Below are 13465 nucleotides of genomic sequence, written 5' to 3' on the forward strand. Positions count from 1 at the left end.
AGCCAGATTAGAGAAGAGAGGAGGAGGTCATGGCCCACAGGAAAATTGTAAGGATTAAATGAAGTGATATGTGGGGAGCATCTAGCCCATTTTGCCACATTTATAGACATACACGTTGATGTCTTGGGACACCGAAGTGCTTTGACGGCAACGATGATGACAATGTGTTAGACTGCCATATAGTGCCTTATAGGGCTCCACATGGATATCTTCAATTAGCCCTCACAATTATTATAAGCCTAGTATTACTGTCATGATCCTGTTCTAGACATCTGGAGCTGTGGAACAAACCACCCCCCCAAAAAGTAGTGCCTTAAGACAGTAACATTTGTTTTGCTCACAAATCTGCAATTTGAGCAGGGCTCAGTGGGGAAGCCCCTTCTCCCTCCTCGGTTCAGCACCAGCTGGGCCAGTAGAAGACTGAGGGCCAGAATCATCTGATGACTCTCATGTGTCTGGCCATTGATACTGGTTGTCGGCTGAGACTTGAGCTGGGACCCTCAGCCAGAACCTACATATACCCTCTCTGCATGGCCTGGGCTTCCTCACAGTATGGCGGGCAATTTCCAGTTCTGGCGTGGGGGTGAAAGAGAGAGCATGCCAGCGGAAGCCACATGCGTTTTGTAACCTAGCCTAGGCGGTCACATGAAGTCACCTCTGATGCATTTATTTGTTAAGGCAGTCACAAAGACCTGTCCAGATTCAAGGGAAGGGGACATGGCCTCCACCTCTCAATGGAAAGTGACAAGGTTCTGGAAGAGCATGTGGGACTGGAAATACTGCTGTGGTCTTTTATGAAAAACACACAGGGGAGAACATTGAGGCTCAGGGGGACCGGGGAAGGGACTGGCACAAGAGCACAGCGCCCACGAGTGACAAGACCAGAACCTGAACCCGGGTCTTCTGACTCCAAACCCTGTGCTTTTCCCACTGCACAATGGGATGACCGATCCCACTGACTGGGGCTTCAGAAGGGTCTGGCCCCTCTCCATATCACAGGGCCTTTCAAAGCACCCACCCCCTCACACACACACCTGCCCACAGCCTGAATTACTTCCACCATCCTTCTCCTTGCTGGGCCTGGTGAGAAGAGCTCCTGAATGGGCTGGACCCACTCTGCTGCTTCACTGCCCAGGCCAAGCTGAGGGAAGCCAGTGGGAAGTGGGGCCCACCAGGAGCTAGAAACAGGGAGGCCCAGTACTCGGGGGTGAGGGCGGGAGGGAATGACAGTGAGAGCAGTGTGTGGGATGTGTAATTCCAGACGACAGCAGGAGCTAAGAAGACTGGGTAATTTGGGGAATTTTTGGAAAATGTGAGTGTGATGTCAGCCTCAGTGAAAGAGAGAGGAAGACTGGAAGGGGGCCGGGGGCTGTCCTGGGGGGCCGGCAGGGGAAGGTGAGGGGAGTCGAGTTGTAATGGAAGGAACAGTTTATTAGTCTAGAAAAGTTTAACTTGAAGCACACAACCCCCACCCCGCACCACCCCTCTGCCCAGTGCCAGCAAATCACACAGATGTGGTTACAACCCATACTGGTGAGCCCTGGTTGAATCCAGGGGAAGAGATGGGAATGCACTGATTTCTTCACAGATTGTTAAGTGACTGAGCACAAAGCCATTTGCCAGTCCAGAGCCAGAGCACTGAGGATCATCAAGGAGCCCTGAGAAATCCATGCCCAGGGCAGGGAGCAAGAAGGAAGAGGCCATAGAGGTCAGAGTTGGGGCAGTCTGAGCCTCAACAGATTCTTTGGGGAATTTGGTCGGTGCCTCCAGGAGCGTTTTGTATTGACCTGTTAAGCTCCATCCTCAGAACTGTGTGCCATCCACACAACCTGCCCAGAGGTCACCTCAGGCCTGGAGTTCAGATTCATGTCTGAAGGCTCCGAGGCCAGACCAGCTGTGATCACACTCTCCACTCTATTCTCTACAGTTTTGTAACCTCACGCAAGTCACTGGACCTCATAAAGACTCAGTTTCCCGCCAGGCGCAGTGGCTCACGCCTGTAATCCCAGCACTTTGGGAGGCCGAGGTGGGCGGATCACGAGGTCAGGAGATCGAGACCATCCTGGCTAACACAGTGAAACCCCGTCTCTACTAAAAATACAAAAAATTAGCCGGGCGTGGTGGCGGGCACCTGTACTCCCAGCTACTCGGGAGGCTGAGGCAGGAGAATGGCATGAACCTGGGAGGTAGAGCTTGCAGTGAGCCAAGATCACGCCACAGCACTCCAGCCTGAGCGACAGAGCGAGACTCCGTCTTAAAAAAAAAAAAAGGGGGGGACTCAGTTTCCTCAGCTCTAAAATGGGAGCGATAATACCTACTCCAAAGAGCTGCCATGAGCCTGAAATAAGATGGTAGAGGTTAAGTGCCTACCACAGGGTCCAGCACATAAGGATTCAGTAAATGCTCATTCTCTCTCCTACTTCTTTTTCTCTTCCATTCCTTTACATAAACCAAGATCATGATTCATCCTAACCCTTGTTCAGTCCAGACTTACAAAGCCAAAGAGAGGCAAAGCTGATAAAGCACTGGGGCAGGGAGGATGGACAAGAGGATGTTCATACTCTTCAATCTTATAGCCACTTTTTGCCTTTAGGAGTCCATGGTATAGGGGCCCTGGTAGAGCAATGGGAAAGCCCCTAGACCTGAGTGCCAACCCCCACTGAGGGGACGGAAGCTGGAGCTGGAGAGCTCCTCTCGTCACCTTGTGCTGTCTGTCCTTAGGGTCCAGTCAGTCCCAAAATCTGTTCTTCAAACCTGCTACTCCATTAGGCCCCAGCAGGGTACGGGCAAGAAAGACAGAAGAACAGGGGAGGGGCTGCTTTGTCCCACTGCTGGAGACCATCCTGGCTAACACGGTGAAACCCCGTCTCTACTAAAAACACAAAAAATTAGCCGGGCGTGGTGGCGGGCACCTGGGCGTGAGCCCAGGGCTCTCTATGCCTCTGTCACCTCGCCCAGAAACTCGGAAGGGCGGGGGGGTGGGTGTTGAATGGAGGGTGCTCTGCCTGCCTGACATCCTGGAGTCACATTATCTCCCCACATCCCTCCCTATCCTCTTGCAACTCCCCTCCCAGCCCTTTCGATAAGGCCTCACACAGAGAAGCCATGCTCGTCACAAGGGAAGTCCTGGGCTGCGGCCTAGGAGGACTCCTCTAAAATCCTTTCTGTGGCTCTGACTTAGGCCTCCAAGTTCCTCTTTCCTGAGCCAGGGCTGGGGTTTGAGTAGAGGGGACTGCAGCCTCTGACTTTCCTGGAGGACTCTGATGCTATTCTTACTCTTGTCTCTCGTGGGTTTCTGTCCCTCAGGGGTTCTCGGAAGTCTTAAGCCACCTCTCAGAGTTCCTGTGTTAAAAATACTTTCCCTAGAACCTTAGGAATGAGGGTGAAAAATAAACAACCTCAAATCTTACCTGTGGCTTTATTTTGAGACTTCCAGCAACCTGAAACACCCCACCCGCACCCCAGACACCCCCCAGCCCCTTCTTCTCTCCCGGAAGCTCCGGCATCCTCCATTTCAGACCTGCCTGAGCCGGACTGGGGAAGGGAGGAGGTTATGGTCCATGGAAGAGTCATACCCTGAACTTTATGGAGTTTGCAGCGCCCAGGTGTGGGGCCAGGTCTCGCCTTTCTCAACAACATCCAGAGAAATGAAATTCTGGCTCCACAAGGCAAGGAGGAAAGGAGGATGGAAAGACAAAAGGAAGAAAGAGGATAAAAGAGCTTTTGTAGAGGAGACAGAAGGTAGCCTCCAGGTAAGAGGAGAGGTAATGGAGAGGTTAGTCATGTCATATCCAATGAGTGGTGGGTGATAGAAAGTTTCTGTGGGTTGACAGAGGGTTACTGACGATGAAAGCAGGTTTTAGGCAAATGTTAGGAGCTCAGTTGCATCTGAGAAGAGCCCATGGACCTTACAGGGGCCACAGCTCACGATCATCCATCCACAGGGGACTCATGGCCAAAATCTTCCTTGGGAAACCCACTCCTGTCTTCCTTAACTCCAGATCTTTTGCTCCAGGGAGGAGCCTCTGGGCAGCTAGAGCCAAACATTCTCTGGGCCCTTCCAGCCCCAGCATTTATCTTAGGGTTATTTTCACTCCCAAGAACAACGAAGCTTTCTATTCAAGTGGTGAGAAACCACACCTCTGAAAAGCCATAGATCACCCAGGGAGGGCCAGAGGGGCTGGTCCAGCACGTGGCGCTGCTTCTCCCTCCCATCCAGACCCTCAGAGCAGGTGTCTGGCTCACCACAGCTTACAGTGGGATCCCAGGCAGAGGGCAGAAATTGTGTAGGACAAATTGGTTCTGAAAGCCGGAAGCCAAGACAGGGCAGGGAGAGGAGGAGAGGGAGGATGACCAACTGGAAGAGTGAGGGCACCAAGGAGCCCCAAGCAATCCCTGCTTGGATCCAAACTCTATAGACTCAGTCCCCTTATATGAGATATATGACAATCATCCACATCAACTAGGGAGCTTTCAAAAAAGGTAATAAATGAACATGGTATATAAGGGTCAACTGTACTAGAAAGATGTATAGCAGACTCAGCACTCCCAGTGACACACACTGTAGCCAAGTTTCTCTTTCCTTCAATAAATATATTTGAATACACTAGCATAGATATAGATATACATGCATATAGATAGAAGTGTATATATATATTATATATATGCATATGTATAAACTCTTTCCATTTGTACATATCTGGTAAGACATTAAACATTGTTCTACAATGTCATTTTTATACTTAACCATATAATTTGTAAGCCATTCCGTATGTGTATGTATAGAACTGTCTCCTTTTTACTGACTTCTTAATATTCCATTGCATGGCTATTGTAGGTATGTAGGTAATTTCCCATCTTTTTCTATTCCAAATAATGCTGCAGTAAATAGAGTGCAGTAACACACTCTTTCATGCACATTCATGAATACTAATAGGGTATATTCCTAGAAGTAGAACTGCCAGACAGATCAAAGGACATGTGCATGGGGTTTTTTTGTTTTGATTAATATGCTAAATTGCTCTCTATAGGTGTAGTATTTATTTACACAGACAGCAACAATATGAGACTGCCAGTCTCTGCACATCTTAGGCCAACATGATGTTATACAACTTTTTCATCCACATTAATCTGATAATTAAGAAAATAGCATTTTATGCCAGGCACGGTGGCTCATGCCTATAATCCCAGCACTTTGGGAGGCTGAGGGGGGAGCTGATAACTTGAGGCCAGGAGTTCAAGATCAGCCTGGCCTATATGGCAAAACCCAATCTCTATTAAAAATACAAAAATTAGCCAGATGTGGCCAGCCTGGCCTACATGGCAAAACCCAATCTCTATTAAAAATACAAAAATTAGCCAGATGTGGTGGCGCATGCCTATGGTCCCAGCTACTTGGTGGGCTGAGGTGGGAAGATTGCTTGTGCCTGGGAGGCAGAGGTTGCAGTGAGTGGAGATCACACTACTGCACTCCAGCCTGGGTGACAGAGCAAGACCCTGTCTCAAAAAAAATAAATAAAAGAAAATAGCATTTTATTTTGGTTAAAACTTACATTTCACTTATTACAAAAAAGGTTGAGAAACTTTTAAGGTGTCTAAAAGTCATTTATACTTGCATTAGCTTCAAAAATATACAGATCCCTGGGTCTTATACTCAAAAGCCTGATTCAGTAAACCCCCAGATCAGTAATTTTTAAAAATATTCAAGTGATTGGGGTAAATATTTCTTAAACAAAATATAAACAGCACAAACCAAAAAGAAATGATCGATAAATTGTACTTTCATTAAAATTTTAAATGTCTGTTCATTAAAATAAAGTACAAAGTCAAGCAATAGAGTGGGAGAAAATCTTTGTTAAATGTACATCCCACAAAGAACTCATAACCAGAATATATGAAGAAAGCTCCTACAACTCAACAAGAAAGAGAAAAAATATAACAACATATCATTTTAGGTAGACCAAAGACATAAATAGACAATTTATAAATGAAGATATATGAATAACCAATACACATATGAAAAGATGTTTCTTTCATAACTCATCAGGAAAAGGCAAGTCAAAACCACAGTAAGATACCACTACCAATGGTACACTGGTAAATATTTAATAACTGATACTTCAGGGGAAAAAGCCTGATTTGCGGTTTTCTTGTTTTTTTTTTTTGGTGTGAAAACTCCCACCATGGCCAATTTCAAGCCACCAATGCGACATCACTGAATGCAGAATTGGGAAGAGGTGTATACAATTGACTCTCACAAGCCCCACAAGCTGGCTCCAGCACATCACTGAGATCACCGCAAACCCACCATGAAGGCTAAAATGAAAAAGATTGAACATATCAAGTTTTGACAAAAATATAGAGCAAGGAGAATGCTAACACACGGCTAGTGGGAGTGTAATCAGTTTAATCACATTGGAACGCTGTTTGGCAGTATCTACTAAGGCTATGATCCTATGTCTGATCCTATGATCCTGGAGGCTCCATAGAAATGAATGCATATGTGATGGTTTTTTTATGTGTCAACTTGACTGGGCCACGAGGTACCCAGACATTTGTCCAAACATTATTCTGGGTGTGTCTGTGAGGGGATATCTGGACAAGATTAACATTAGAATTGGTAGATTGAATAAAACAGATTGCCCTCCATGGTGTGGGTGTTCCTCATCGAATCATTTGAAGACCTGAATAGAACAAAAAGACTGAATGAGAGGGAACTCCTTCTGCCTGACTGTCTTGAGCAGGAACATCAGTTCTCTCTTACCTTTGGATTCAAACTGAAACATCAGCTCTCTCTGGGTCTTGAGCCTGCAGGCATTCAGACTGAAACTACACCATCATCTCTCCTGGGTCTCCGGCTTGCTGACTACAGGTCTTGGGATTTGTCAGCCTCCATACCCACATGATTCAATTCCTTATTTCATATATATATATATATATATATATATATATATATACACATATATATATTTTTTTTAAGTACTGATTTTTAAAAATATAGATGATAGATAGATAGATAGATAGATAGATAGATAGATAGATAGATAGTTAGACAGACAGACAGATAGATAGATCCTATTGGTTCTATCTCTCTGGAGAACCCTGACTAATACCACCAGGTAGCCACCAAAAAACATGCACATGAATGTTTATAGCAGCTTTATTTGTAATAGTCAACAAACTGGAAGCAATCCAAATGCCCATCAACAGTGCTACACAGTGCTAGATTTCTACCATGGAATACTATATAGCAATAAAGAAAACAAACTACAGATACACACAGCAACATGGATGAATCTCACAGACAAAAACATTGAAAGAAAAGGGCCAGACACAAAAGACTATATATATATATACACAAAAGACTATATATATATATACACAAAAGACTATATATATATATATATATATATACACACAAACTTTTAGAATAGATGAAATTGTTTTATTATGAGATAAGTTAGAATAGCAATTACCTTGAGGAGATTGATATAAACTAGGAGTACACATGAGGGAATGTTCTCCATATTGGAAATATTCTGCATTTTGATATCGATAGTAGTTACAAAAGTGTAAAATTTCACCCAGCTACACACTTAAGATTTGTACTCCTTTACTGCTTATACTATATATACCAATATATTTGGTTGGGTTTTTTGTATTTTGGGGATTTTTTTTGGAGACAAGGTCTTGCTCTGTTGCCCATGCTGGAGTGCAGTGGCGCAATCATATCATAGCTCACTGAAGCCTTGAACTCCTGGACTCAAGTGATCCTCCCACCTCAGCCTTCAAAGTAGCTGGGACTATAGGCATGTGCCACCATACCTGGCTAGTTTTTTGTTGTTGTTGTTTGTTTGGTTGGTTGGTTGTTGTTGAGACAGGATCTTTTTGGTGTTACCCAGGCTGGTCTCAAATTCCTGGGCTCAGGTGATCGTCCCACCTTCGCCTCCCAAAGTGCCAGGATTTACAGGCATGAACCATTGCGCCCAGCCCTCCAATATAATTTTTTACATAAAAATAAGTTTTAAAAACTACCAGGTATTTCTGATGATCAGCCTAGTACAGGAAACATTCGACTTGGGAATCTGTAAGTTCTCTTAAAGCTAACATTCTGTGAAGATGAGATGAAACAGAAATAATGGCGCCAGAGCAAAGGCAAGAAGAAGAACCAGAGAGTAGACACAGAGCTAAATAGGAAAGAAAGGGAGACCTACAGAAAATACATTAACTCGCCAACATTTGTTTAGCACCTGCTATGGGCAAGGCACAATGCTCGATAGCCAGAAGGTCAAAAATGAGCAAAGAGAAGCCCCTACCTGCAAGGAGCTTGCCTTCTTGTAGGGGACATAATTCTACATTACAAAGTACAGTGCAGTAATTGCTGAAAACCAGAGGCACCAACAGAAAGCTCCACAAGTGGAAAATGGCATTCAGTTGGGCATGGGGATGATCTGGAAAGAATCCACAGTGGAGCAGGTACTTGAACAGAGCCTTGAAGGATAGGTAGAATTCTGCTGGAGAGAGACAGCTGGAGGTAGACATGTATTAATTCTCTCTCATACTGTCATAAAGAAATACATGAGACTGGGTAATTTATAAAGGAAGGAGGTTTAATTGACTCACAGTTCCACCTGGCTGGGGAGGCCTCAGGAAACTTACTATCATGGTGGAAGGCAAAGGGGAAGCAAGGACTTCCTTCACATGGTGGCAGGAGAGAGAAGACAGAGCAAAGGGGAAAGAGTCCCTTTTAAAACCATCAGACCTCATGACAACTCATTCATTACCACAAGAATATCATGGAGGAAACCACCCCCATGATCCATCCATCCTCCCACCAGTTCCCTCCCTCGACACCTGGGGATTATGGGGATTACAACTCAAGATGAGATTTGGGTGGGGACACAGTCAGACCATATCAACGTCGATTGAGGATCCTTTATAAATGCAATTTAGACTGGCCAATGCCTAGGGCCAGTGTAACCTTTAAAATGGAAACTCACCAGACTCACCATAAGATGGATAAATAATCCACCCTAGAAGTGGCTAGCAGACGCAGAATGAACTCCAAATCATACCAAGGGACTAGAAGTTTCCCAAGGAACCATAAAAGAGACAATGTCCTCAGCACAGAGGGTAAAATATAATCATTTGTTGTTATCCTTAAAGAATAGGAAGGAAACTGCATGGAGACCATAGGCAATAAGACCAGGCCAACCAGAACGTGAACAAGGAAAATAGCAGTGACAAGGCAAAGGATGGGACACAGTAGAGTTGGTATCAATTGACTATGACTAGAATATTGCTCCCTGAGGATTAAGACTCTGTCTTGCTCATCAGTGAATTTCTGGGGCCCAGCATAGTGCAGGGCACAGAATACCTACACAATAATGTTTGTTGAATGAACTAAATAGGTGAGGAACAGACAAAGGTGACACCCATTCCCCAGGTTTAAAGTATGTGTGACTGGGAAAATGGGAACTCAGGAGCAGATGGTTTGGAGAGGAGAGAAGATTATGGGTGGACAGTTACAGAAGAAAGACTGGAGCTTGGACCGGAAATCTTACCAGCAATTTTTTTTTTTTTTTTTTTGAGATGAAGTCTCTGTCACCAGGCTGGAGTACAGTGGCGTGATCTCAGCTCACTGCAACCTCCGCCTCGCGGGTTCAAGCGATTCTCCTGCCTCAGCCTCCTGAGTAGCTGGGACTACAGATGCATGCCACCAGGCCCAGATAATTTTTGTATTTTTAGTAGAGATGGGGTTTCACCATGTTGGCCAGGATGGTCTCGATCTCTTGACCTCACGATCTGCCTGCCTCAGCCTCCCAAAGTGCTGGGATTACAGGCGTGAGCCACCGCGCCTGGCGCCTACTAGCAATTCTGCAGTTGAAGTCATCCTCCAAGAAATGACTGCTGAAGCTATCTGAGTAGACAGCAGAGGCATGGGGGAGAATGGACAGAAGAGAGCTGAATTTGAGAGTAAGAAACTACAGAAGGCAGCAAGAAATGAGAGACAGAAGAATCAGGAAAGTATAGCATCAGCAAAGTCAGTGGACGAGCTTTAAGAGGACGGCCCTGTCAGTTAATTCTATTTGAAAAATGATAGTTGTGTCCCTGCTCCCCAAGCAATCCAGAGACAGAAAAGCTTAGCAGACAAAGTGTGGACTTGAAAGTGAAACAGGCAGGCCTTGAATCCAAACACGGCCCTATGTCATTTAATAGTGAAATCCTAAGCAAGTTACTGAAACTTCTATTTCCCAATTGGTTGGGTCTTCTGTTTTCCAACTGGTTAAAAGTGGGAATTAATATGATCTATATCCAGGTTGCTGCAAGGATTAAGTGAAGGTATATGAAAATCAACAAAATATATGAAAATGCCAAGCACAGGGATTGGAACATAGTGGGCACTTGGTTCTTATTTATTCCTCTTTCCTTCCGTGCTGTGTGCTAGGATCTGGTGTTTGGGGAAAATGATGCTGAACAAGTAACACTTGAAATGCAATGAAGGGGAGGAGATCTAAGAGTATGCATGGACCCCGAATGAGGAGTGAGCGAACCATTGCACGCTGGTCAACCCAACCTGACAAAGCTGTCCCAGGTGCTTCAATTAGTAAGGAGATGTGAGTGACCCTGCAAAGAGCAGTTTTAATAGGATGGGGACAGGGTGGGATGAGAGAGCAGAGGCAGCGACTGTCTTTCTTGGGCAGCAAGAGGAATAGCCAACGAAGAAGTAACTGCAAAGACAGAAATGTGCGTGGGTTGGGAGCAAGCTGAATGTGTATATGTGCAAAGGAACCAGGAGGGAAGGAAAGATGGAGGAGGCAAGGGAGAAAAGGGCTAGTTGATGAAGGGCAAGTCACCCACAGAGGCAGTGAAATAAAATCAAGGAAGCATTCAAACCCAAGGCTGCTCCAGGTTTCATGACTTGGGCCTGTTGTTGGTATAACCTGATGGGTGGTCTTTAAGAAAAAGAAGGCAAGTTTACAAATACAAAATTAGATATGACTGTGTATTTTTTTAGAATAAGGAAATCATTCACAACATTTTTAAATTACATTTTTTAAATGTTTAAGCTGATAAATATCACAAAACCCAGAAAAATGGCATGTTTATTAATTAACTTCCTGACATACCTCTATAATACTTTCAGGGAAAAATGTATTTGTTTTGCTGTGTACTCTTTTATGGATTCCTCTTACATCAAAGGTTTTGTGGTATCGTTTTTTATAGAGGGTATAGAAAAATAACTCGGGCCAGGCACAGTGGCTTATGCCTGTAATCCAAGCACTTTGGGAGGCCAAGGTGGGTGGATCACCTGAGGTCAGGAGTTCAAGACCAGCCTGGCCAACATAGTGAAACCTTGTCTCTACTGAAAATACAAAAACTAGCAGGGCATGGTGGCGCTTGCCTGTAATCCCAGCTACTCTGGAGGCTGAGGCAGAAGCATCGCTTGAACCCAGGAAGCGGAGGTTGCAGTGAGCCGATATCGCACCATTGCACTCTAGCCTGGGCAATAAGAGTGAAACTCTGTCTCCAAAAAAAAAAAAGAAGAAGAAAGGAAGGAAGGAAGGAAGGAAGGAAGGAAGGAAGGAAGGAAGGAAGGAAGGAAGGAAGGAAGGAAAGAAAAATAACTTTCTTCTAGCATGCTTGGACAAAATTTGTTTTCTATTATTGATGGTTGAGAAGAATTTCTTTCAGCTTCATAACTTAATATTGGTAATACATACGTTTTTAGGATTGTCATATTTGGGAAAACCACTATTGAGGTCCTTTCATGTATGAGCTATAATATTTCAGGGCATGTCAAGTTTTCTTGCACAGTGACTCATCCTAAAAATTATTTAATTGACAATAGTCATTAGTTTGTTGATGTTCTCATTGTAGTTTATTATGAGTTTTATATTGTCTTACTGTCAGTATTTCATCTCAAACCAGCACAAAATTTAATATTGTTCATATGATTCAGTGATAACTTGAAAATCATAAACATGTGACCTTATAGGTAAGCATTCTAGCTGTGTGCAGGATTGTTGTAAATTTTTACCCTACAAACACATGAATTCTGATGAAATCATATTTCACATCAAGAAAAAAAATGTTTGATGCATTTATAATTGACTATATTCCTGGAAGGAAAGAATTTTTATTTTGACTTGGCATTGTTAAGAACCAATAACTTACAGTTTTACATTTCTAATGAAAAAAAAAAATTCCTGGACTAGCTTATGGTTCTGAAGTGAGTTGACTGATAGCCCCCAAAATGGTATGTCCACATCTTAACTCCATCAACATGTGAATTTGATCTCATTTGGAAAAGGAGTCTCTGCAGATGTAATTAAGGATCTTGGGATCATCCTGGATTACCAGGTGAGCCCTAAATCTAATGACCAGCATCTTTAGAAGAAACAGAAGAGAAGGCACGAACGTGGAGGAGACAGCTATGTGAAGACGGAGGCAGAGATTGGAGCTACACAGCCACGAACCAATGAACTCCTAGAGCCACTAAATGCTGAACGAGAAGAGGAAGGATTCTTCTCCAGAGCCTTTGAGAGGAGTGCAGCCCTGTCGACACATTGATTTCAGACTCTTGGACTCCAGAACCATGAGAGATTGTATTTCCGTTGTTTTAAGTCACTCAGTTTGTGGTAATTTGTTACAATGGCCCTAGGAAAGAAACTCATACCAGTTCTATACATTCCAAACCTGGTCTCCCTTTTACTACCCAAATATTGGGTAAATGGGGTTGCAAAAAGACACACTCATGATGTGAAATGCCCTCCAGCCATGCACCTCTCCATGCCAGGTAGTGCAGAGAAGGCCCCACGAGCCCTTCCCATTGTGGATGGCCAGCAACAACTTAAATACCCATTAAAGTGACTGCAGGCCACATAAATACATCTCACTAAACCCAGACTAAAAGCATCCCACACTCAACTTCCGCTTAGCTGGATCCCAGCAAATCTCCAAGGCCCTCCAAGGCCACTCAGCACAAACAGAAATGTGAAGGCAAGGAAATCAGAGTGGAAAGAGACAGACATCTTAGCGGTCATGGTTAAAATATCTGACTTCTGGGCCAGGCGTGGTGGCTCATGCCTGTACCCTTTGGGAGGCCAAGGCTGGTGGATCACTTGAGGTCAGGAGTTTGAGACCAGCCTGGCCAACATGGCAAAACCCTGTCTCTACTAAAAAAACAAAAATTAGCCAGGCGTGGTGGTGCACATCTGTAATCTCAGCTACTTGGGAGGCTGAGGCACAAGAATCGCTTGAACCCAGGAGACGGAGGTTGCAGTGAGCTGAGATCATGCCACTGTACTCTAGCCTGGGCAACAGAGAGAGACTGTCTCCAAAAATATATATAAATAAATAAATAAATATATATATATATATATATATATAAATAAATATATATATATATATATATATATATATATATATATATATATATTTTATCTGATTTCTGTAACTTTGC

Source organism: Homo sapiens, chromosome 2 (assembly GCF_000001405.40).
Source record: "Homo sapiens chromosome 2, GRCh38.p14 Primary Assembly".
Lineage (NCBI taxonomy): Eukaryota > Metazoa > Chordata > Mammalia > Primates > Hominidae > Homo > Homo sapiens.